Source organism: Homo sapiens, chromosome 19 (genome assembly GCF_000001405.40).
Source record: "Homo sapiens chromosome 19, GRCh38.p14 Primary Assembly".
NCBI lineage: Eukaryota > Metazoa > Chordata > Mammalia > Primates > Hominidae > Homo > Homo sapiens.
The window spans coordinates 46,302,805-46,328,123 of NC_000019.10; the positions used below are offsets into that span (position 1 = coordinate 46,302,805).

The window sequence follows — 25,319 nt, forward strand, 5'->3', positions numbered from 1 at the left end:
CTGAGTCTGCAGTGAGCCATATTCATGCCATTGCACTCCAGCCTGGGCAACAGAGCGACAGCCTGTCTCAAAAGAAAAGAAAGAAAAGAAAAGAGAAACTTTGGGTTCAGAAAGACCTGGAGTTTGAATTTGAAGACAGTGGCAGAAACAGGGAGAAGAGCTAAAATTCTGGACATAAATCCAGGCCCATAGAGATAGAGAAAATTTGAGAATTTAGGTAGACCATTGTTTAAAGGCAGGCTTCCCTATTTGTGGGCAGGCACTGCACCTCTCTGAGCCTCGGTGTCCTCATCTGTTCAATGGGACGTTATCAACTTCCTTCTGGGTGGCCTGAGCATTAGGCGGGTTAATATAAGTTTCGCACTTGGCACTGGGAGTGACAAAATAGTAAAAGCTGGATAAGTGGCAGATATTTCTGATAAAACGACACTTATTCTTCCAACCCCACATGCAAAATGTAGGTATCTGAAGTGGATTACAGGGCAGGGTGAGTGGTAAACAGAACAGGTTGCTTTGCTGTGTCACCCTGGCGGGTCCCTGCCCCTCTTAGGGCCCCTGTTGGTGGTTCATCGTTAGACTTTGAGATCTATGTTCCAAGATTCACAGGACGGCTCAGTTGAGGGAAAAGGGCAGAGGAGGTGATTCTGGGAAACTGCAGGGCAGGGGGCCTGGGAGGCTGTAGGCCTCTCCTTCGTGGGCCCTCCCTCCTCTGGCCCCTGGCCAGCTCAGCCAGCCCCCTCCCAGCAGGGGCCCTCCCTGTCCCCCAGGCGTCCCTAGCCTGGGAAATAAACTGCAGATAAGTCAGGGAGGGGACAGAGCGGCCCTAGGCGCGCCACAGAGAGGAGCGAGGCGCCAGAGGCACCATGGACTGGCAAGACCACAGGTAAAATCAGGGCTAGGAAGGGCTCCACAGTGTAGCCCTTCCAGGCCCAGGGAGCGCCGCGAACTCGACAGGGCCACACATCGAGGCCTGCGCAGCCGCGGCCCAGCACTCCACGAGCCCCGGCCCCACGTGGCAGCTCCCCACGTGCTCGTCCCGTCCTCCTTTTCTCTTTCCCGAGTCACCACCAGTGAATGCTGCCCATGCCCTCAGGTCGACCACGGAGCTGCGCAAGGAAAAGTCCCGGGATGCGGCCCGCAGCCGGCGCAGCCAGGAGACCGAGGTGCTGTACCAGCTGGCTCACACGCTGCCCTTCGCCCGCGGCGTCAGCGCCCACCTGGACAAGGCCTCTATCATGCGCCTCACCATCAGCTACCTGCGCATGCACCGCCTCTGCGCCGCAGGTGAGCCCCGCCCGCGGGAATTCCCGTCTTGGTCAGGCCCCGCCCACGGAAAAAAACTACATCCCAGGGAGGCCCCTCCTCCGGGAAGCCTTATTCTGACAAAGCCCCGCCCCCTGGTGTCGTTTTTTTCGGCGGAGCCCCACCCCCCTGGAATCGACTTCCCCGGGGAGGCCCCGCCCCCTTTGAGTTCCTGGCCTGCTGGGAGTCCCGCCCCCCTCGAAGTCTATCACTTGTGAGGCCCCGCCCCTGGAACGCGCCCTTTGGAAGCCCCGCCTCCTTAGGACTCAGAAAATCCGCTAACCCTTCAACTCTTACGATTTGGTCCTCTAGGAGACTCTCCCAGATGGATAGGCCCTGGTCTCTCATAATATATCCACTGGGAGGCTGCGCCGCCCAACTTTTCGTTACTGTATCTGAGAGTCCCTTGTCCCTTCCCCACCCCTCTAGTTCTACATCACTTGTTCTCTTAGTAGGCATCTCCTTGAATTTCTACCCAGTTAGAATTGCATCCTGCAGCGGGCTTTGCCACGCACGTGCACGCGCGCGTGCACACACACACATACACTCACACATAAACCCCGTGGAATCCCAGGACCCTGAAAGCGGGGGAAGTAGCGTTATTCTCTGGGAGGCTCTGTCCATTTGACTTCCCTGCCCCATAGAATTTTACTTTTCTTGGAGGCTTTACCCCCTTAGAAGTCTGTTCCCTGGGAGTCCCTTCTTCTCTAGAGTTCTGTCCCTCTGGAAGGTCCTGCCCTCCATGAGTTTGAACCCCTTCGAGGCTTCCCCCTCATCTCTATATTACAATTCCCCTTAGGCCCTGGCCCCTTCATATTTTGACCCTGGGGAGTTCCATCCACTTAGAATTCTGTCCTCCTAGGAGGCCCACCCACATCCTTAGAATTCTGTTCCCTTGGGAGACTCCTACTTCCTTAGAATTCTGCCACCCTGGGAGGCCCTGCTTCTAATTCCAGTGCTTCTTGGTCCTGCTTTCTTCCTTGGGAATCCAGGCCACTAGGATGTACCCCCACTTCCTTGGGGGTGCATGTAAGTTTCTCTGAATGAGGAAAGGCAGAGGGAGGCTAGCCCAGGGTCAGTCCATAATTCAGACCATAACTGACTAGAGATGCCCCCATCCCCCTGCCCCGGGCACCAGGGGAGTGGAACCAGGTGGGAGCAGGGGGAGAACCACTGGATGCCTGCTACCTGAAGGCCCTGGAGGGCTTCGTCATGGTGCTCACCGCCGAGGGAGACATGGCTTACCTGTCGGAGAATGTCAGCAAACACCTGGGCCTCAGTCAGGTGAGAGGAGCTCCTTGCTCTGTGCCTGGCCCTGTACTGGTGATGCTGGGGATACAGTGGTGACCAGGACAGCCATAGCCCTACCTTTATGGGACTCACAATACAAAGGGGATATAGGTATGTCACTAGACAGGAAGACCCAGAATGGTCAGGGCTGGGATGGGACAGTCTAGGGGGCTGTGAGAGCACAGGGGTGGGGTGTACCTGACCCAGCCTGAGTGGGAATGGAGGGCTTCCTGGAGGAGAAGATATCTGAGCTGAAATCTGAAGAACTTAGCCGGTCAAAGGGTATGGAGAATGGATGGGATCAGTGAAGATCAGGAATGTACATGGTAGAGGGAACAGAGGAGGCAAAGGCCAAGAGGTGAGGAAAAAAAAACAGAATAATTTGGGGAAATAAAGTTGGCCACGTGCAGTGGCTCACACCTGTAATCCCAGCACTTTGAGAGGCCAAGATGGGAGGATAGCTTGAGTTCAGGAGTTCAGTGTTTCACCTGGGCAACACGGCAAAACCCTGTCTCCACCAAAAATACAAAAAATTTGCCAGATGTTGTGGCACATGCCTGTGGTCCCAGCTACTTGGGAGGCTGAGGTGGGAAGATCATGTGAGCCTGGGAGGTGGAAGTTGCAGTGAGCCAAGATTGCACCAGTACACTCCAGCCTGGGTGACAGAGCAAGACCCAGTCGCAAACAAACAAACAAAAAAATAATAAAAAGTTTATCCTCCTAGGTGCAGAGTGCAATAGGAGAAGCTGAGAGACAAAAGGCTAGAGAGGTCATCAGGGTAGACTGTGGCCAAATTTAAGGCCAAATTATCTTTATCTCCAGGGCCCCGGGGAGCTATAGAAGGATTTTAAGCAGTGGAGAGGTTGTGCCAGAAAGGTAGAATCAGATTTACATTTTTGAAAGATCCTCTAGGTACGGCATGGAGGTAGATTTGGAGGGAGTGAGATCAGAGGTTGAAAGATCAGCAATGGGTAGATGCCAATCTCAGGTGGGAGAAGAGGAATAGGGGCAGGGACCATGGGGATGGAAAGATAGGAACAAGAGACATTTAGAAAGTAGAACTTACTTTTTTAATTAACATGGAAGGCTTCATGCATTTGCATATCATCCTTGTGCAGAGGCCATGCTAATCTTCTCTGTATTATTCCAATTTTTAGCATACATGCTGCCTAAGCAAGCATAGAAAGTAGAACTAACTTTAATTCATCCTTACAGCAAGGCCTACAAGAAAGTTCCCATTCTTTTTTCTATCTCACATAAATAGGCTCCATAGTTGGTATCTGTTCCTTTTCTCTGCCTCGTTACCCCACTCCTGGTACCAATTTCTCTGTTAGTGTGAGTGAGCTTTTTGGACCCAGAGAGATGAATGTCCCGAGGTTCCAAAGCTAGGAAGTGGCACAGCCAGGATTTGACTCCAGCTACAAGAGATGTTGTCAGAGGAGCGAGATCTCCCTCTTTCCCTATTCACCAGCACCAGCACCATTCACATGGTGAGCCAATAGGGTCCACCTTCATCTGTGTCCCCTCCTCCCAGCACCACGCTCATTTCCTAAATTGAAATGAAGAATTGGGTTTTCTGCCTGCCAGAAAAGTGTGATTTGAATGGAGTCTCATCTCGGGGCCTTGCGCTTACTATTCCCCTCTTTCTAGAATACTCTTACTCCAGGGGGCCATAAGGCCACCTCACTTGCTTTGTTCAGCAGCTTTTTAAATGTCACCTCTTCAAAGAAACTGTCTAGACCACTCTGTCTAAAGCAGCCTCCCATCATTGCGTTACCTTGTACTGCTTTTGTTTTCTTCATGTTACTTGTTATATTGTTGTTATTTGTTCTTTCATTCACTGTCTGTCTCACCCCACTGGCCAGTAAGCTCTTCAAGGCAGGGATTTGTGTGTGCAGTCACCGTGTCCATACCATTTAGAAGAGCCAGGTGCAGTAGCTCCCACCTGTAATTCCAGTACTTTGGGAGGCCAAGGTGGGAGGATCACTTGAGCTCAGGAGTTTGAGACCAGCCTGGGCAACATGGTGAGACCCCCATTTCTACAAAAAAATTTGTAAAAATTAGCCAAAAGCTGGATGCGGTGGCTCACACCTATAATCCCAGCACTTTGGAAGGCCAAAGTAGGCAGATCACTTGAGGTCAGGAGTTCGAGACCAACCTGGCCAACATGGTGAAACCCCGTCTCTACTAAAAATACAAAAATTAGCCGGGTGTGGTGGCACATGTCTGTAGTCCCAGCTACTCGGGAGGCTGAGGTGGGAGAATCACTTGAACCAGGGAGGTGGAGGTTGCAGTGAGCTGAGATCGCACCACTACACTCCAGCCTGGGCAACAGAGCGAGACTCCATCTCAAAAAAAAAAAAGAAAAGAAAAAAATAGCCAGGTGTAGTGGCATGTGACTGTAGTCCCAGCTACTGAGGAGGCTGAGGTGGGAGGATCAGATCGCTTGAGCCCAGGAGGTTGAGGCTGCAGGAAGTCATGATCGCGCCACTGCCCCGCTGCATTCCAGCCTGGGCAACAGAGCAAGACCTGTCTCAAAAAATAGATAGATAGACAGATAGGTAGACAGACAGACAGACAGACAGACAGACAGACAGACAGACAGATAGATAGATAGATAGATGAGGGCCTGGCACTTGGTATGCGCTGAATAAATGCTTGCTCAGTGGGTGGATGGATGGATGGATGGACAAATGGATGGATAAATGAATGGGGAGACTGGTGAAATCATCCAGGCTCATGAATTGGAGCAGGGGAATGAGGATGGGATGGAGGAGATGGGTCAGAAGCCCTGGTAGACCCCCACCCCTCTCATCCCTGGCAGCTGGAGCTCATTGGACACAGCATCTTTGATTTCATCCACCCCTGTGACCAAGAGGAGCTTCAGGACGCCCTGACCCCCCAGCAGAGTGAGTTCCCTGGAGGCCTCTGTCCCCACCATACAGAGGAGGAAGCTGAGGCTCCACCCCTCCCTCAGCATATCCCCACCTCCTGTGGAACACCAGACTAAGACAAGTAGGAAGAGGAGAGATGGCCCTGCCCTGGGGTCTATGGGGACAAAGACCCTGCCCTGGGGGGGTCTGAGGGGACACAGCCCTGCCCTGGGGGGTCCAAGGGGACACATACTACCCCTGGGGGACCCTCTCTGGTTCCAGGTCCCAATTGTTGGGATGGAGCTGGGGAGGCCTGAGCAGCCAGGGTGCCGGAGGGCACTGGGCCTGTGTGTAGCTGCCTGTGACCTCCCCGCTGCCCCCGGGCCTCCCCAGCCCTGTCCAGGAGGAAGGTGGAGGCCCCCACGGAGCGGTGCTTCTCCTTGCGCATGAAGAGTACACTCACCAGCCGCGGGCGCACCCTCAACCTCAAGGCGGCCACCTGGAAGGTGCGTGGGGCCGGGCCAGAGGAGGGCGGGGACGCTGGGGCTGGGTGTGAGCCCTGAAAGATCTTGAAGGGTGCTGGAGTCCAGGCATCTCCTAGGCTGGGGACCCTGCGGGGCTCACTCAGGTCAGGTCTAGCGGGTCTCAGGGCATCGAGGAGCATGGGTGTCTGTGGAGTTGGGACCTGGGGCTCCTGTAAGCTCTCTTAGGATGGGTTCCTATGGGCCTGGGGCTGGGGATCCTCAGTCCCTTTGAACCTGAAGTCTTCATGGGGTTGGAATCTCAGCTCCCTGATGGGCCCTCAGGACGCATCTTCCAACCCCATGGGTGGTCTCAGGCCCAGAGGCACCACTGCCTTGTCCCCTCATCTCGGCCCCCAGGTGCTGAACTGCTCTGGACATATGAGGGCCTACAAGCCACCTGCGCAGACTTCTCCAGCTGGGAGCCCTGACTCAGAGCCCCCGCTGCAGTGCCTGGTGCTCATCTGCGAAGCCATCCCCCACCCAGGCAGCCTGGAGCCCCCACTGGGCCGAGGGGCCTTCCTCAGCCGCCACAGCCTGGACATGAAGTTCACCTACTGTGACGACAGGTGGGCAGGGGCCCCCTCTTCCGTCTGCCCAAGTTCAAGTGCTGTTTCCCTCCCCACCTCCACACTCCCGCATTTCTCTCTCTCCTTCTCTCTCTCTCTCTCACTTCATCCATCTCTCTCTCTCTTTGTGTGCCTGCCTGTCTCTGAATTTTCTACATGCCTTTTATATCTTTTCTTTTTTTGTAAAATCGCTGCCTTGCCATTTGCCCAGACTGCTCTCAAACTCCTGGGCTCAAGCCATCCTCCCACTTCGGCCTCCCAAAGTGTTGGGATTACAGGTGTGAGCCACCGCACCTGGCCTCCTTTTATCTTTCATTCTCTTTCTGTCTCTGAGTCTTTCTCTTAGTGTTTGTCTCTCTTTGTCCCTTTTCTTAAATGAGTCAATTTGTGTCAAGCAGTTAATATGGTGCCCAGCACACAGGAAGCATTCAATAAATTGTCGATAGGCCAGGCACAGTGGCTCACACCGGCAGTACCAGCACTTAGGGAGGCCGATGCGGGAGAATTGCTTGAGACCAGGAGTTCAAGACCAGCTTGGACAACATAGGGAGACCCCGTCTCTACAAAAAAATTAGCCAAGTGGGGCCGGGTGCAGTGGCTCATACCTGTAATCCCAGCACTTTGGGAGGCCAAGGTGGGTGGATCACCTGACGTCAGGAGTTCAAGACCAGCCTGGCCAACATGGTGAAACCCCAACTCTACTAAAAATACAAAAATTAGCTGGGCATGGTGGCGCATGCCTAAAATCCCAGCTACTCGAGAGGCTGAGACTGGAGAATTGCTTGAGCCCGGGAGGCGGAGGTTGCAGTGAGCCGAGATTGCACCATTGCACTCCAGCCTAGGCAACAGAACAAGACTCCGTCTCGAAAAAGAAAAAAAAGAAAAAATTTGTCAGGCGGGTGGCATATTCCTTTAGTCCCAGCTACGCAGGAGGCTGAAGTGGGAGGAATAATTGAGCCCAGGAGGTTGAGGCTGCAGTTAGCCATGATTGCACCATTGCACTCCAGCCTGGGCAACAGAATGAGACACTGTCTCTCAAAAAATAATAATAATAAATAAAATAAACTGTTATTATTTGTTCACCCTCTATCCTTCCTTTCATCTCTTTTTCTCTCCCCCTCTCTTCCTTCTGTCCTTCTCTTCCTTCTTCTGTCTTATCCCTCGCCCTGGTGTCATGCTTAGGAATGGTGACTCTGGATTCAGCCTGCTTGAGTGTCAGTCTTGGCTGTGTATCCTTAGCCAAATGACTTCACCTCTCTGTGCCACAATTTCCTCACCTATACTGTGGAATCATAACAGAACCTGCCTTGTACAGTCGTTCTGAGCAGCTCAGTGAGTTTCCCGGTGCAAAGCACAAGTATCTAATTTTTAAATCATTATTGTCATCATTACTTTTTGTTGTTGTTGTTGAGGTGGAGTCTTGCTCTGTCACCCAGGCTGGAGTGCAGTGGCAGGATCTTGGCCCACTGCAACGTCCACCTCCCGGGTTCAAGTGATTCACCTGCCTCAGCCTCCCGAGTAGCTGGGATCACAGGGGCCTGCCACCATGCCTGGCTACTTTTTGTATTTTTAGTAGAGATGGGGTTTTACCATGTTGGTCAGTCTAGTCTTGAACTCCTGACCTCAGGTGATCGGCCCGCCTCGGCCTCCCAAAGTGCTGGGATTACAGGCGTGAGCCACCGCACCCGGCCTATCATCCTCATTACTTTTTATTTATTTTCATTCTTCTCTTTCTTTTTGTGTTTTTTTCTTCCCCTCTCTTCCTCTCTCCTATGTCATGCATGCTGTCTCTTTTTCTGTCTTTTCTTAGCTCTTCTTCCCCTCTCCACCCCTTCTCTTCCCTTGTATTAGTTCCCTGTTGCTGCTGTAATATATTACCACGAACTCAGTGGCTCCAAACAACACAAACTCACTGTCTTACCGTTCTGGAGGTCAGAAATTTGAAATGAGGCCAGGCATTGTGGCTCACGCCTATAAACCTAGCACTTTGGGAGGCCAAGGCAGGAGGATGGCTTGAGGCCAGGAGTTCCGGATCAGCCTGGACAGCATAGTGAGACCTCATCTTAAAGAAAGAAAAAGAAATTAGAAATGAGTTTTACAGGCCAAATTAAGGCTGTGTTCCTTCTGGAGGCTCCAGGAAAGAATCTGTTTCCCTGCCTTTTCCAGCTGCTAGAGCTGGGCCCACCTGCATCCATCTCCCTATCTCAAGACTAACGTTAGGCAGGCCGGGCGAGGTGGCTAACACCTGTAATCTCAGCACTTCGGGAGGCTAAAGCAGGAAGATTGAGCCTGGGAGTTCAAGACCAGACTGGGCAACATAGTGAGACCCCCATCTCTACAAAAAAAATGCAAAAAGTAGCCAGGCAGGGCACACACCTGTAGTCCCAGCTACTCAGGAGGCTGAGTCAGGAGGATTGCTTGAGCCTGGGAGGTCAAGTCTGTGGTGAGCCATGATTGAACCACTGCACTCTAGTCTGCGTGACAGAGCGAGAGCCTGCCTCAAAAAACAAACAACAAAACAAACAAAAAACTTCTAATGTCATCATATCTGCAAAGTCCCTTTAGCCACGTAAGAGACCATATCTACAGATTCCGGGAATTAGGATGTGGACATCTTTGGGGGTCATTATTCAACCCACCACACTCCTCTTGTTCTGTTTCTTACTCCTTTTCTCTCGGTTACAATCCTTCTCGACATCTTGCTGGCTTTGTTCCTGTGTCCTCTGCTGCTACTTCCCTCTGCCTACCCTCTCTCTCACCCAGTAGCATCCTGACCAGACCCCACTCCGCCCCACCCCCAGGATTGCAGAAGTGGCTGGCTATAGTCCCGATGACCTGATCGGCTGTTCCGCCTACGAGTACATCCACGCGCTGGACTCCGATGCGGTCAGCAAGAGCATCCACACCTGTATGTATCCCATTTCCCCAGGTGCGAAGCCAGCTGCCACATGGCCCCCAGCTGACACCAGGACCCCCCAGCTCCCCATACCCCAGGATGCACTGCCTCCCCACCTCAACACCAGCTCCCTGCTCCCCAAGCCCCAAGGAACTGTCTCCTTCCTTGCCCCCTCATACCCAGTCCCCAGATATTTCTCTCCCCATTTGCCCCCTTGGTGGCCCTGATCCCTCCCGATCCCCCTCCTCAGTGCTGAGCAAGGGCCAGGCAGTAACAGGGCAGTATCGCTTCCTGGCCCGGAGTGGTGGCTACCTGTGGACCCAGACCCAGGCCACAGTGGTGTCAGGGGGACGGGGCCCCCAGTCGGAGAGTATCGTCTGTGTCCATTTTTTAATCAGGTAAGCAGGAGGAGGGGCTGGGGTGGCTGTGTGTGGGCCTGATCTGCATGTGTGGACAGGTGTGTGTGTGTGTGTGTGTGTGTGCGTATGAGCATGCATGTGTATCATGCATAAGTGTATGTGAGGGAGTGTGCACGTGTACACATATGAGGAATGTGTGTCACCATGTAAATGCCGGTGTGTGTGTCTGCATGGACACAGGTATGTGTATGGGTGTGTAGACTGTTAATTTTTTTTTTTTTTTTTTTTTTTTTTTTTGCGTGAACCTCTGCTTAAGTGGATTGTTAATTCAAATTAGAAAGGGGTCTTTATTTGGCCTGGCATGGTGGCTCATGCCTGTAATCCTAGCACTTTGGGAGGCTGAGGTGGGCGGATTGCCTGAGCTCAGGAGTTCGAAACCAGCCTGGGCAACATGACGAAATGCTGTTTCTACTAATAATACCAAAAATTAGCCGGGTGTGGTGACACATGCCTGTAATCCCAACTACTCGGGAGGCTGAGGCACGAGAATCATTAGAACCCAGGTGGTGGAGGCTGCAGTGAGCCGAGATTGCGTCAGTGCACTCTGGCCTCGGCAACAGAGCGAGACTCTGTCTCAAACAAACAAACAAACAAACAAACAAAAGGACTCTATATTCAAGTTAAAATAAGAAGTGTAACAGAATCATGGGGTCTTTTTTGCTTTTTAAATTTTGATGTGGCTCACACCTGTAAATCCCAGAACTTTGGGAGGCCAGGGGAGGAGGATTGCTAGAGCCTGGGGGTTCAAGACCAGCCTGGGCAAAGTGGTTAGGACCCATTCTCAAAAAAAAAAAAAAAAAAAAACCTGAAAACAGACCAAAAAAAAAAACCACACACACGCAAAGATAGATGGTTTGCATATGGTAAATTCTCTTTATGGTACACAGTTCTGTGAATTTTTGACACACGCATGCAGTTGTGTAACCACTATCACAATCCAGCTATTGACCAATTAGTGTGATTATAATAGTGGTTACACAATTACCACGATTTTTTTTTTTTTTTTTTGAGACAGAGTTTTGCCCTCGTCACTCAGGCTGGATTGCACTGGCACGATCTCGGCTCACTTCAACCTCTGCCTCCCAGGTTCAAGCGATTCTCCTGCTTCAGCCTCCCGACTAGCTGGGATTACACGCAACAACACGCCCAGCTAATTTTTATATTTTTAATAGAGAAGGAGTTTCACCAGGTTGGCCGGTCTGGTCTCGAACTCCTGACCTCAGGTGATCCACCCCCCTCAGCCTCCCAAAGTGTTGGGATTACAGGCATGAGCCACTGCACCCGGCCCATGTTGTGGTTTATATCAGTAGTTCCTTTGTAAATAGTGAACAGTATTCCATGGTATGAATAGAGCACAGGTTTTTTTTTTATCCATTCACCAGTTAGAAGACATTGGGCTGTTTCCAAGTTTGGGTGATTACAAAAAAACAGCTACTGTAAACATTCTCATACAAGATTTTATGAGATCACATGTTTTCATTTCTCTTGGGTAAACAGCTAGGATTGGAATGGATGGGTTATATAGTAAGTGTATATTTAATCTAAGAAACTGCCATGGCTGGGCACAGTGGCTCACGCCTGTAATCCCAGCACTTTGGGAAGCCAAGGAAGGAGGATGACTAGAGCCTCTGAGGTGAAGACCAGCCTGGGCAAAGTGGTTAAGACTCAACCGCAAAAAAAGAAAAACAGAAAACCTGAAAACAAACCAAAAAAAAAAAACAAACACAAAAATATATATGGTTTTCATGCAGTAAATTCTGTTTATGGTACACAGTTCTGTGAATTTTGACACATGCATGCAATTGTGTAACCACTATCACAATCCAGCTATTGACCAATTAGTGTGGTTACACAATTACCACAATTTATTTATTTTTATTTTTATTTATTTATTTTTTTTGAGACAGAGTTTTGCCCTTGTCACTCAGGCTGGAGTGCACTGGCACGATCTCGGCTCACTTCAACTTCCGCCTCCCGGGTTCAAGCAATTCTTCTGCTTCAGCCTCCTGAGTAGCTGGGATTACAGCTGGGATTACACCAAGCCCAGCTAATTTTTGTATTTTTAGTAGAGTCGGGGTTTCACCATGTTGGCCAGGCTGGTCTCGAACTCCTGACCTCAGGTGATCCACCCGCCTCAGCCTCCCAAAGTGCTGGGATTATAGGCATGAGCCACCACACCCGGCCATTACCACGATTTTTTACACAAAAATATTCTCTTGTAGTAAACCCCTCCCACACTCCCATGTCCCTGGCAACCACTGTCCTCAGACCCCAGAGTTTTGCTTTTTCCAGAGGGTCACATACAGGGAATCCTACAGTATGTAGCCTTTTGGGCCTGGCTCTTACTTAGCTTGATATATTTAAAATTCCTCCATGTTGTGGTTTTTCTTTCTTGGTTTTTTTGTTTTGTTTTTGAGACAGAGTCTCATTCTGTTGCCCAGGAGTGCACTGGTGCAATCTCGGCTCACTACAGCCTCCGCCTCTGAGGTTCAAGTGATTCTCCTGCCTCAGCCTCCTGAGTGGCTGGGATTATAGGCGCGCACCAACACGCCCAGCTAATTTTTATATTTTTAATAGAGAAGGAGTTTCACCAGATTGGCCAGGCTGGTCTCGAACTCCTGACCTCAGGTGATCCTCCTGCCTCAGCCTCCCAAAGTGCTGGAATTACAGGCGTGAGCCACCGCGCCCAGCCCATGTTGTGGTTTATATCAGTAGTTCCTTTGTAAATAGTGAACAGTATTCCATGGTATGAATAGAGCACAGTTTTTTTATCCATTCACCAGTTGGAAGACGCTGGGCTGTTTCCAAGTTTGGGTGATTAGAAAAAAACAGCTACTGTAAACATTCTCATACAAGATTTTATGAGATCACATGTTTTCATTTCTCTTGGGTAAACAGCTAGGATTGGAATGGATAGGTTATATAGTAACTGTATATTTAATCTAAGAAACTGCCATGGCTGGGCACAGTGGCTGATGCCTGTAATCCCAGCACTTTGGGAGGCCGAGGAGGGCAGATCAGTTGAGGCCAGGAGTTTGAGACCAGCCTGGCCAACATGGCGAAACACCGTCTCCACTGAAAATACAAAAATTAGCCAGGTGTGGTAGCACATGCTTGTGACCCCAGCTGCTTGGGAGGCCGAGACATGAGAATCACTTGAACCCAGGAGGTGGAGGTTGCAGTGAGCTGAGATCACACCGCTGCACTCTAGCCTGGGTGACAGAGTGAGATTCTGTCTCAAAAAATTAAAAAAAAGAAAGAAAGAAACAGCCAGGACAGGGTGCGGTGGCTCATGCCTGTAATCCCAGCACTTTGGGAGTCCAAGGTGGGTGGATCACCTGAGGTCAGGAGTTCTGGACCAGCCTGGTCAACATGGTGAAACTCCATCTCTACTAAAAATACAAAAATTAGCTTGGTGTGGTGGTGCATGCCTGTAGTGCCAGCTACTCAGGAGGCTGAGGCAGGAGAATCACTTGAACCTGGGAGGCAGAGGTTGCAGTGAGCTGAGATCAGGCCACTGCACTCCAGCCTGGGCGACAGAAGGAGACACCATTTCCAAAAAAAGAAAAACAGAAACAGCCAAACTCTTTTCCAAAGTGGCTGTATCATTTTGCATTCCCATCAGTAACGTATGGGGGTTCCAGTTGCTCCACATCTGTGCCAGCATTTCGCATTGTCTGGGTGTTTGGGTTTGGTGTTACTTTTAGTCATTCTAATAGATGTGCAGTGGGAAAATCACGATGGGGCTTTTTTTTTCCATCATGTGTCATAGAAGCTTTTCACCATTTAGAAATGCAGAGGTATCCATGACAACATTATGAGGCAGAGTTAGAATTACAGCTTTTCGGTCGTGCGCAGTGGCTCATGCCTATAATCCCAGCACTTTGGGAGGCTGAGGTGGGCAGATGACTTGAGGTCAGGAGTTCAAGACCAGGCTGACCAACATGGTGAAACCCCGTCTTTACTAAAAATACAAAAATTAGCCAGATGTGGTGGCGTGTGCCTATAATCTGAGCTACTTGGGAGGCTGAGGCAGGAGAATCACTTGAACCCCGGAGGCAGAGGTTGCAATGAGTGGAGATCAGACCACTGCACTCCAGCCTGGGCGACAGAGTGAGACTCCATCTCAAAAAAAAAAAAAAAGAAAAAAGAATTATACCTTTTCTTTGAAGAAGGTTATCTTATAGGACATGCACCAGTTTTCTAAAGCCTTAGGGGTTTTTCTAGATCTGGAGGAATGTTCTGAAATACAAATCAACATATACATATGTATATAAATTTTTTTTGAAATAAAGTCTTGCTTTGTCATGCAGGCTGGAGAGCCGTGGCACAAACAGGGCTCGCTGCAGCCCTGACCCACCTGAGCCTCCCAAGTAGCTGGGACTATAGGTGCGCACTACCATGCCTAATTTTTTTTTGTATTTTTTGTAGAGATGGAGTTTCATCATGTTGCCCAGGCTGGTCTTAAACTCCTGAGTTCAAGCGACCCACCCGCCTCGGCTTCCCAAAATGCTGGGATTACAGGTGTGAGCCCTGGTACCCAGCCTATAATTTTTTAAAAATAGGGATGGGGTCTCACTGTGTTGCCCAGGCTGGTCTCAAACTCTTGGGCTCAAGTGACCCTCCCGCCTCAGCCTCCCAAAGTGCTGGGATTGCAGATGTGAACCACCATGCCAGGCCTACAAATCAACTTATGCCTCATGTCTCTACCCTTCTCAGAGCCCTTCTGAAGCTCCCCAGTATCCTCAGGAGAAAAGCCAAGGGCGTTGGTGTGGTTCACCAGGCCCTGTGAAGCTCCTGCCTCCCTCCCCTTCTCACTTACCCTCCAAATCTCAGGGCCTTTGCACAGGCAGTTCCTCCTTCCCAGAATGCTCTCTTCTCTTCCCTCCTCTCCTTTCTCCTGAGTCATGCCCGCTCATCCTTCCAGTCTCAGCTCAGACATCACTTCTGGAGACCCTCTTTCCTGAGCCCCTACATGAGCTCAGGTGTCCCCCATGCCCATTTTCTCTCCTGGTGTCCTGTACTTTTGCACCAGAGCACTTAAAACCATTTGTAATTATCCTATTAACTTGTGTGTTCAGCCAGGCCTTCTTCGATCGTCCTTTTCAAAATTGCAAACTCCCATCACTGCTTTATTTTCTCTGTAGTACTTACCACTATCTTTTTTTTTTCTTCTTTTTTTGAGACAGAGTCTCATTCTGTTGCCCAGACTGGAGTGCGGTGGCACAACCTCAGCTCACTGCAATCTTAGCCTCCCGGGTTCAAGTGATTCTCCTGTCTCAACCTTCCAAGTAGGGATTACAAGCACCCGCCACCACACCTGGCTAATTTTTGTATTTTTAGTAGAGATGGGGTTTCACTATGTTGGCCGGGCTGGTCTTGAACTCCTGAGCTCAAGTGATCCACCCACCTCAGCCTCCCAAAGTGCTGGGATTACAGGCGTGAGCCACTGTGCCTGGCCCTCCCTAGTATTACCACTATCTAACCCAACGTTGTCCAATAAAAGCATGATGCCAGCCACATATGTCATTTGGAATTTTTTTTTTTTTTCTTTGAGACAGAGCCTTGCTCTGCCACCCAGGCTGGAACCACATTAAAAAGGTAAACGGAATGCTGGGCATGGTAACTCACACCTGTAATCCCAACGCTTTGGGAGGCCAAGGCCAGGAGTTTGAGAATAGTCTTGGCAACATAGGGAGACCCCATCTTTACAAATAATTTAAAAATTAACCCAGCGTGGTGGCATATGGCTGTAATCCCAGCTACTCAGGAGGCTGAAGCAGGAGGATCACTGAGCCTGGGAGATTGAGGCTGCAGTGAGCCGAGATCGCACCACTGCACTCCAGCCTGAGCGAGAGAGTGAGATCCTGTCTCAAAAAAAAAAAAAAAAAAAAAAGTAAACAGAAGCAGGTGAAATTAATTTTATTTTTTAAATTTCATTTTATTTATTTATTTATTTATTTTGAGACAGAGCCTCACTCTGTCACCCAGGCTGGAGTGCAGTGGCGTGATCTCGGCTCACTGCAGCTTCCACCTCTGGGGTTCAAGTGATTCTCCTGCCTCAACCTCCTGAGTAGCTGGGACTACAGGCGCATGCCACCACACTCAGCTAATTTTTGTATTTTTAATAGAGATGGGGTTTCACCATGTGGGCCAGGCTGATCTTGAACTCCTGACCTCAGGTGATCCACCTGCTTTGGCCTCCCAAAGTGCTGAGATTACAGGTGTGAGCCACCGCGCCTGGCCTAATTTTAACAATACATTTTATTTTCATATTCAAGATCACACCACTGTGTAAGTAGCGGAGCTGGGATTTGAACCCAGGCCACTGACTACAGAGTCCTTGCTGTGAACCACTACACAGCAGTGCTTGATGAGGATATATTTGTGGAATGATGAATGAGTTAACTGAATGTGTCACACGTGCACATATTCGAGCCCAAGTGTATGGAGCATGTGAGCATATGTGTCCCTATATGCACTCAGGTGTATGTGAGCGCTCCTGTTTGTGCCTGTGTGTACCGAGTGTGTATACAAGTTCGATTGTGTGTGCTTGTATCTTTCAGGGGAATAAGGGTGGCTTTGATCCAGCCTAAATTGGGATGTTTCCAGCCCAGGGAGGGTTTATTGAGTGTGGGGAGAGGTCATAGCTTCTCAAGGAGCTGGTGGGAAGACCAGGCCCACCTGCCTCCTGTCCTGAAGGGGGTTATGCAGATGAGATACAAATGAGGGCCTGATCCTCAGCCCCACCCAACTCTCCAAAAGCCAACTTGCACAGCGAGCATTTAGATTGTCTCTGCAGCCAGAGACTGTGTGAAGGGAGGTGCCAGGGACATAAGGATGTATTTCTAAACCTGTTCCCTTGAGTATGAAAAACATCTATGAATAGAAACAGCATAAATAAAATCTTATTCATAAAAATTACAGCCCTATGAATTCTTCCTATTTGGTCATGTAATGAAGACTATGTTAAAAATATATTTTTTCATCAATACCTTTCTAAGAATATGTTTATAAGTAAAAATCTATAAAGAGAATATTTAGTTATTCTGAAGCCTTTCGCTCACCCCGCTCTTTGCCCCTGGGCCTCCTCTCTCTGTTCCTAGGTCTCCTCCCGCTTCTGTCTTTCAGTGCCGCCCCACCCCCTTCCCTCAGTCTTCCTCCTCTCTGCCCAGGCTGTGCTAAATGCCAGCTCTTTTTTCTGCCTTTCCTTTTACAGAAGGAGCTTGGGAAGGGACAAACTTAACTTTCTTTTAAAAATGGTGTCAGAATAGGCCGGGCACAGTGGCTCACGCCTGTAATCATAGCACTTTGGGAGGCTGAGGCAGGTGGATCACCTGAGGTCAGGAGTTCGAGACCAGCCTGGCCAACGTGGTGAAACCCCGTCTCTACTAAAAATACAAAAATTAGCTGGGTATGGGGGCTTGCACCTGTAATCCCAGCTACTCGGAAGGCTGAGGCAGGAGAATCGCTTGAACCTGGGAGGCGGAGGTTGCAGTGAGCCGAGATCGCGCCACTGCACTCCAGCCTGGGCGACAGAGTGAGACCTTGTCTTAAAAAAATAAAATGCTGTCAGAATAAAAAGCAGTCAACAGAAATGAAACCCTTATAGGAGACAAATAAATGTGGGCAATTATTTTCTGCAAAATGCCCTCCAAGCCCCTGGGCGCCATTGCCTTCTGTAATAGGACATCACCTGAACAGGCTTTCTGGGCTGGAGCCAAGGACCCTCCCTGACTCCCACCTCCCTTTCTGCCTTGTACCCCAGCCAGGTGGAAGAGACCGGAGTGGTGCTGTCCCTGGAGCAAACGGAGCAACACTCTCGCAGACCCATTCAGCGGGGCGCCCCCTCTCAGAAGGACACCCCTAACCCTGGGGACAGCCTTGGTATGGGGCAGGGCTGGGGCCGGGAGGGGTTGTGTCCCCAGGGCCCTTGGGAGAAAGCCCAAGCACCTTAACATGGCTCACCAGGCCCTGTGGGACCTGCCTCCTGCCTCCCTTCCCTGCGCACTCAGCCTCCAAAACACACAGCCTCCTAAGAGCCCTTGGAACACTCCAGCCTCGTGCCTCAGGGCCTTTGCACATGCAGTTTCCTAGAATGCTCTTCTCTCTCCTGTCCTCCCTCCCCTTCTGTGGCTATGGGGTGGTTGCTTCAGTCTCTTGCTGGCCTCTGCTCTAAATCCTGCTGTGGCTCCACATTGCCCCCACGCTTCTGCCTCTTCCCTGTTCTGGCTTTGCTGCTCTTTGGCTTCCAGTAATCTCGATCCTCCTAAGTCTGGCTCCTTTCTCCCTCTTCCTTCACTCTCCTGCCATCCTGGATGAGCCTCCCTCCCAGTCTATCCTTCAAGACCTCACCTTCTCCAAGCTGTTGCTGGCCACCCATGCTCCTGGGTGTGGGGTGGGATTGCTGATATAATATCCTTTCCTTTTCTGGCTCAGAGCTGGCTCTGGGCCTTGTCTTAACCTCTGGGGACCTTACAGCCTCCTTGAGGGCTTGGGGCCAGTCTTTTCTCCTAAGGTGAAAGCTCCCCAGAGCTGAATGGCCAAATGCTGTTCTGAGCCACCAATCCCTTCCCCTCGGACCTTTCAGAGCCTCACCACAATCTGGCCACTGAAGTTCACACCTGGGCTGGGAGCAGTGGTTTATGCCTGCAATCCCAGCACTTTGGGAGGCCGAGGTGGGCGGATCACTTGAGGTCAGGAGTTTGAGATCAGCCTGGCCAACATGGTGAAACCCTGTCTCTATAAAAAATACAAAACTTAGCTGGGTGTGATGGCGGGCACCTGTAATCCCAGCTACTCTGGAGACTGAGGCAGGAGAATTGCTCGAACCCAGGAGGCAGAGGCTGCAGTGAACTGAGATAGTGCCACTGCACTCCATTCTGGGCAACAGAGCTAGACTCCATCTCAAAAATAAAAATAAAGTTCACACCTGGCCCAGCAGGGGTCCTCCAGGCCCCTTCCTTACCCTCTCACTAAGAACAGTGGCCATCCTGACCTGCTGAAGATGTCAACTGTGTTCCTGGGGTTGGTATGGAGGGCTCTGGCCCTTGGCCCTCAGTCACCAGCCCGTGTCCTCCCCATCTCCATGTGTCCTGCAGACACCCCTGGCCCCCGGATCCTTGCCTTCCTGCACCCGCCTTCCCTGAGCGAGGCTGCCCTGGCCGCTGACCCCCGCCGTTTCTGCAGCCCTGACCTCCGTCGCCTCCTGGGACCCATCCTGGATGGGGCTTCAGTAGCAGCCACTCCCAGCACCCCGCTGGCCACACGGCACCCCCAAAGTCCTCTTTCGGTAAGCCATCCCACCCATGTGAGCCCTCAGCATCCAGTGCTCAGTCCCTCAGGGGGTCTTGGCCTGTGACTTAAACCTGACTGTTCTCTGGGCCTCAGCTTCTCCATCTGTGTAGTGGGGAGGTTGGGATGAGATGGGGTTGAGGTTCCTTTAAGACGCAGATCCAGATTTTTCAATTGTTAGAATTCCAGAGTCTGGCTCTGTTTAGGGAAAAACTCTCTCAAGCTATGTTTTTCCTCTGCTCTCCTAATAATGCAACAATCGTCAACACAGAAGAAGACTTCTGTGACCAAATGTGGGCAGTTTTTCCCACACACCAAGCAGCGGACACCAGCTGGGTGTCCTCCAATTCAATTCCGGCATCATCTACCTGGAGATAGTGTCAGATTTCACAGGTTGGGCCTCAGTCCCCAAGACTGCTCTTTGCTCTTCAGACACCAGTCACAAGTCTGGGCCTCCAGAATTTCTTTTTTATTTTTATTTTTATTTTCGAGATGGAGTCTCACTCTGTCACCCAGGCTGGAATGCAGTGGCGCAATCTCGGCTCACTGCAACCTCCACCTCCGAGGTTCAAGCAATTCTCTTGCCTCAGCCTCCCAAGTAGCTGAGATTACAGGTGCATGCCACCACACCTGGTTAATTTTTTGTATTTTTAGTAGAGGCAGGGTTTCACCATGTTGGCCAGGCTGGTCTCGAGCTCCTGACATCAAGTGATCTTCCGGCCTCGGCCTCCCAGAGTGCTGGGATTACAGGTGTGAGCCACCGTACCTGGCTCTTTGGGTTTGATTAATTTGCTGGAGCGGCTCACAGTAATCAGGACAACACTTATTTAGGTTTACTGGTTCATTGTCAAGGATATTGCACGGATACGGATGAAGGGATACATTGAGTGAGGTATGGAGGAATGTAGGGTTTCGGAGCTTCCATGCCGTCCCGGGCACCACCCTCCAGAAACCTCCATGGGTCAGCTATCTGGAAGCCCCTCCAACCCAGTCCTCTTGGGTTTTTATGGAAGCTTCATGACATCAGCATTCCTTCCCCCAGGGTATCGGGCAGGACCCTCTCTGGGGACAGTGGTTTTTTTTTTGTTGTTTTTTTTTTGAGACGGAGTTTTGCTCTTATCGCCCAGGCTGGAGTGCAATGGCATGATCTCAGCTCACCACAACCTGCGCCTCCTGGATTCAAGCAATGCTCCTGCCTCAGCCTCCCAAGTAGCTGAGATTACAGGCGCACACTACCACGCCCAGTTAATTTTTTTATTTTTAGTAGAGACGGGGTTTCACCATGTTTGTCAGGCTGGTCTCGAACTCCTGACCTCATGATCCACCCGCCTCGGCCTCCCAAAGTGCTAGGATTACAGGCATGAGCCACCGCGCCCGGCCTCTGGGGACAGTCTTATGACCCACAATCAAAAAGGCAGGGGAAGATTAGAGACCTGCCTTTGGGCAGGTGAAACGAGGGCAGAAGAAGGCTGGAGAGGTTCTGTTTCCTGAGGCCTAACACACCCAGTGTTCTAACAAAAGACTGTTAGAACTGTTTTACTAGACTGTTCTAATAAAAGACTGTTCTAACAAAAGACAACGGCCATGGGAGTTTGACCCAGGAACCATGCACAAAATCATATATATATATGTGTGTATAAAATAACACCACAGGCCCTGTATTAGTCTGTCTTCACGCTGCTGCTAAAGACATACCCAAGTCTGGGTAATTTATAAAGAAAAAAAGATTTAATGGACTCACGGTTCCACATGGCTGGGGAGGCCTCACAATCATGGCGGAAGGTGAAAGATATGTCTTACATGGCGGCAGGCAAGAGAGAACGAAAACCAAGCGAAAGGGGTTTCCCCTTATAAAACCATCAGCTCTCATGAGACTTATTCACTATCACGAGGACAGTATGGGAGAGACCACCCCCATGATTCAATTATCGCTGACCAGGTCCCTCCCACAGTGTGTGGGAATTATGGGACTATAGTTCAAGATGAGATTTGGGTGGGGACGCAGCCAAACCCTATCAGGCCCCTAACCTGGGATGTTTGGAACTGGCACAGATGACCCTCCTCCCACTCCAGCTTGTGACTAAGCATCCAGTTCTCTGAACTTTGACCTCAAAGAGTCAAAGTGTCTAATATCCTGATTTATACAGACCTGGATTAAATCCTAAATCTGCCATTTATCAGCCACGTTACCCTGGCTGGGCAAGCAAGTTCTTGAGGCCTTAATTTCTTCACCTATAAAAGAAAGATAATAACATGTCACCACATCATTGGTTATTCTGAGCATTAAGTGACAGTATTCATGAGAAGCACTCAGTAGGGGCCTGGCACCTATCGGTGCTCAACAGATCATACCAGTTACTATCAATATTTGTTGTGAAGATAGTCTGACCTTTGACCTCAGTGGGTCCACGTTATCCAGTGTTGACTGTCTTCATCCCCACTCTCCACCCCAAGAAAATATCCTCTCTCCAGAGAAATACAGACTGTGACCTTTGACCTCATCCTTTACCCCTGAGACAGCTGAACTCTCCATTGTTTCCCCACTAAACTCCAGGCTCCAAGACCTTTAACCCCAGAGGATTTGTTTGAAAGTCTTGGCCTCAGGCTGGGTGCGGTGGCTCATGCCTGTACTCTCAGTACTTTGGGAGGCTGAGGTGGGGAGATTATCTGAGGTCAGGAGTTCAAGACCAGCCTGACTAACATGGTGAAACCCTGTCACTACTAAAAATACAGAAATTAGCCAGGCGTGGTGGAGGGCGCCTGTAATCCCAGCTACTTGGGAGGCTGAGGCAGGAGAATCACTTGAATCCAGGAGGTGGAGGTTGCAGTGAGCTGAGACCACGCCATTGCACTCCAACCTGGGTGACAGAGTAAGACTCCCTTTCAAAAAAAAAGTCTTGGCCTCAAGCTCATGTTTTTATTTATATATATATATATATACACACACACATATATATATACACATATATATATACATATATATATATATACACATACACACACACACACACATATATTGTGTGTGTGTGTGTGTGTGTGTGTGTGTGAGACAGAGTCTTACTCTGTCACCCAGGCTGGAGTGCGGTGGCATGATCATAGCTCACTGCAGCCTCTGCTTCCCAGGCTCAAGCCATTCTCCTGCCTCAGCCTCCCTAGTAGCTAGGACCACAGATGTGTGCCACCACACCCAGCTAATTTTTGTACTTTTAGTAGAGACAGGGTTTCACCCTGTTGGCCAAGCTGGTCTCGAATTCCTGACCTCAAGTGATCCACCCACCTTGGCCTCCCAAAGTCCTGGGATTACAGGTGTGAGCCACTGAGCCCAGCCAGGCTCTGATCCTTCTAACTGGAACTTCCATGTTTGCCCCATCCATCTATGTACACCCAGGCATTCTGAGTTTTGAACACCCAGGTTCAAAACTCATCTGCATTTGCCGTTGGACCCCCTTTGTGCCCCAGATGCCTGGCATTTGATCCCCACTTCTACCCTTGAGCTGCAGACTGTCTTAATGTTGATACCTCCCAGGCTCAAGATTTCCTGAAGTTTCTACTCCATCTCTCCACAGGCTGATCTCCCAGATGAACTACCTGTGGGCACCGAGAATGTGCACAGACTCTTCACCTCCGGGAAAGACACTGAGGCAGTGGAGACAGATTTAGATATAGCTCAGGTAAGGGCTGGCATGGAAGGGAGTAATCCTCAGCCCTGTGTTCTGGGGATTCACATATGTGGCTTTAGAGAAGGGTAGTGGGATGGTTAAAGGAATGAATGGATGGATGGATGGACCATTGTATTCATTAGGTGGATGATGGTGGATGAATGGATGAGGTTTAGGCAGATATTTTAATGGATGGATAGATGGGTGGGTAGGTGGATGAATGTTTGGATGGATATTTTGATAGCTGGATGAAAAATGGATAGGTGATACTTGGATGGATGATTTATTGAATGCATAGATAAAATGACAGCAGCATGATGTATTAGTTATCTACTGTTGTGTAACAAATTGCCTAAAAACTTAACACCTTAAAACAACAACTATTTATTATGTCACATGGTGACTGAATATCAGAAATTCAGGAGCACCTTATCTGCTGGTTTTTGCTGAGTCTCTCATGAGGTTGAAGTCAAACTCTCAGTCAGGGCTACAGTCATCTGGGGTTAGAGGGTTTTCTTCCAAGCTCACACACATGAGGTTGTTGGCAGGCCTCAATCCCTCACTTTGCTTTGGCTGGAGGCCTCAGTTCCTCATCACGTGAACCTCTACATAGACTCCCTAAGTGTCCTCACAACATGGCAGTTGGCTTCCCTAAGGCAAACAATCCAACAAAGAGAAAAAGGGACAAATGGAGAAGTAGAGAGATAGAAAGTACAAGTCCCAGACTGAAGACACAGTCTTTCATGGCCTAATCTCAGAAGTGACAAATCATCGCTTCTGCCATATTGTTTTGGTCATATAGATCAATCCTGTACACTGTGGGAGGCAATAACATAAGAGTGTGAACATCAAGAGGCAGGGATCATTGGGAACTTCCAATGATTGATGTCTCTCCCTCATGCAAAATACACTCACCCACCTCTCAAGGCCCCCCAAAGTCTCCCAAAGTTTCTTCCCCTTACAGCATCAGCTTGAAGTCCAGAATCTGATCATCTGAATCTGGTCTTGGTGCTGGGGAAGCTCCTTGAGTACAGTTCCTCTCAACATTTTGGCTTGTGGACTAATGGGGACAAGTCATCTGTCACCCACATACTCAATATACAGTGGTGAGACAGGAATAGACACTACTATTCAAAAAGGAGGGGTAAGAGGGGCATGCATATATCCCTGGTCCATAGCAGTTTTGAAATCCATATGGGAAAATATCACAAGTTCTTTCATTAGGACTTTAAAAAAAAACTGGGGGCCAGGCGTGGTGGCTCACGCCTGTAATCCCAGCTCTTTGGGAGGCCGAGGCAGGTGGATCTTGAGGTCAGGAGATCAAGACCGTTCTGGCCAACATGGTGAAACCCTGTCTCTACTAAAAATAAAAATAAAATTAGCTAGGTGTGGTGGCACATGCCTGTAATCCCAGCTACTCGGGAGGCTGAGGCCAGAGAATCACTTGAACCAGGGAGGCAGAGGTTGCAGTGAGCCGAGATTGTGCCACTGCACTCCAGCCTGATGACAGAGCTAGACTTTTGTCCCAAAAAAAATATATATATATATAAAAATAGAGACAGGGTCTCAGCCCAGGCTGGTCTTGAACTCCCAGGCTCAACCTCCCAAAGTGCTGGGATTAGAGGTGTGAGCCACTGTGCCTGGCCCAAGGGTGCTCTTCATTGCTCTGAGACCACTTTTTTTTTCTTTTTTCTTTTTTTTTTTTTGAAATGGAGCCTCACTCTATCACCCAAGCTGGAATTCAGTGACGCAATCTTGGCTCACTGCAACTTCCAACTCCCAGGTTCAAGTGATTCTCTGGCGTCAGCCTCCTGAGTAGCTGGGACTACAGGTGCCCACTACCATGCCCAGCCAATTTTTCGTATTTTTAGTAGAGATGTGGTTTCACCAGGCTGGCTCAGAGACCACTTATTAATGTTAGCATCATTTGCCATCTGGAGGGCTCCTGCAGTCAGCCAAACTCAAGGTTAATGGCATGGTTCTCCAGACTGCCAAGTCTGCCCAAGACTTCTGACATCAGACACAAGTTTGAGGGTCCCCAGGGTCACCCTTACTTTAGACCAGCTGCCTACCAATGTGGAGATTCCCAGACTCCTGTAGACTCCCTCAAGTTTGATAATTTGCTAGAAGTGTTCATGGTACTCAGAAAGTGCTATACTTAAGATTGTAGTTTTATTATAATGAAAGAATACAGATCAGAAACAGACAAAGGAAGATATTCATAGGTGGAATCTGGGACTGGAGGGTCCCAGATGGAAAGTTTTCTTCTCCTCAGGGACATGTTGTCCTCCCAGTATTGACATGTAGCAATATGTGGAGAGTAATGCCAACTCAGGAAGCTCACCAAAGCATCAGTGTTCAGAGTTTTTATTGGGGTTTCATTGCATAGGCATGATTGAGCAAATTACCGCCCATGTAATTGAATTCAGTCTCCAATGCTACCTCTACCTTCCCTGGATCCGGCTGATTTTGTGCGGGCCAAAGCCCCAACCCTCT

The 25,319-nt window shown here is 49.8% G+C and overlaps 1 protein-coding gene and 1 pseudogene across 22 annotated transcripts in view, besides 4 other annotated features; one reads left to right on the forward strand and one right to left on the reverse strand.

The window, feature by feature from the left end:
• Positions 1–25,319, forward strand: part of HIF3A (hypoxia inducible factor 3 subunit alpha) — a 46,392-nt gene that overhangs the window by 5,763 nt on the left and 15,310 nt on the right. For 9 of the 22 annotated variants that reach the window (XM_017027132.2, XM_005259152.5, XM_017027134.2 and 6 more), the window contains 10 exons: positions 1,094–1,284; positions 2,441–2,586; positions 5,417–5,501; positions 5,859–5,971; positions 6,347–6,555; positions 9,357–9,463; positions 9,702–9,849; positions 17,639–17,757; positions 18,972–19,162; positions 22,731–22,835. In XM_017027132.2, the coding sequence (XP_016882621.1) occupies positions 1,094–1,284; positions 2,441–2,586; positions 5,417–5,501; positions 5,859–5,971; positions 6,347–6,555; positions 9,357–9,463; positions 9,702–9,849; positions 17,639–17,757; positions 18,972–19,162; positions 22,731–22,835 (1,414 nt within the window). Of the gene's footprint in view, positions 1–814; positions 1,285–2,440; positions 2,587–5,416; positions 5,502–5,858; positions 5,972–6,346; positions 6,556–9,356; positions 9,464–9,701; positions 9,850–17,638; positions 17,758–18,971; positions 19,163–22,730; positions 22,836–25,319 lie in introns of those variants that run through there. The other 13 variants (XM_047439216.1, XM_017027140.2, XM_047439217.1 and 10 more) reach the window with 5 other exon arrangements.
• Positions 336–919: an enhancer, noted in NCBI's record as "H3K27ac-H3K4me1 hESC enhancer chr19:46806397-46806980 (GRCh37/hg19 assembly coordinates)". NCBI's record gives its function as "activates a minimal SCP1, AML or CMV promoter by ChIP-STARR-seq in naive H9 embryonic stem cells {active_cell/tissue: H9 hESC(naive)}" and the evidence as "EXISTENCE:reporter gene assay evidence [ECO:0000049][PMID:30033119]".
• Positions 920–1,503: an enhancer, noted in NCBI's record as "H3K27ac-H3K4me1 hESC enhancer chr19:46806981-46807564 (GRCh37/hg19 assembly coordinates)". NCBI's record gives its function as "activates a minimal SCP1, AML or CMV promoter by ChIP-STARR-seq in naive and primed H9 embryonic stem cells {active_cell/tissue: H9 hESC(naive and primed)}" and the evidence as "EXISTENCE:reporter gene assay evidence [ECO:0000049][PMID:30033119]".
• RNU6-924P (RNA, U6 small nuclear 924, pseudogene) lies at positions 3,666–3,773 on the reverse strand (annotated as a pseudogene).
• Positions 17,272–17,773: an enhancer, noted in NCBI's record as "H3K4me1 hESC enhancer chr19:46823333-46823834 (GRCh37/hg19 assembly coordinates)". NCBI's record gives its function as "activates a minimal SCP1, AML or CMV promoter by ChIP-STARR-seq in naive H9 embryonic stem cells {active_cell/tissue: H9 hESC(naive)}" and the evidence as "EXISTENCE:reporter gene assay evidence [ECO:0000049][PMID:30033119]".
• Positions 17,774–18,273: an enhancer, noted in NCBI's record as "H3K4me1 hESC enhancer chr19:46823835-46824334 (GRCh37/hg19 assembly coordinates)". NCBI's record gives its function as "activates a minimal SCP1, AML or CMV promoter by ChIP-STARR-seq in naive H9 embryonic stem cells {active_cell/tissue: H9 hESC(naive)}" and the evidence as "EXISTENCE:reporter gene assay evidence [ECO:0000049][PMID:30033119]".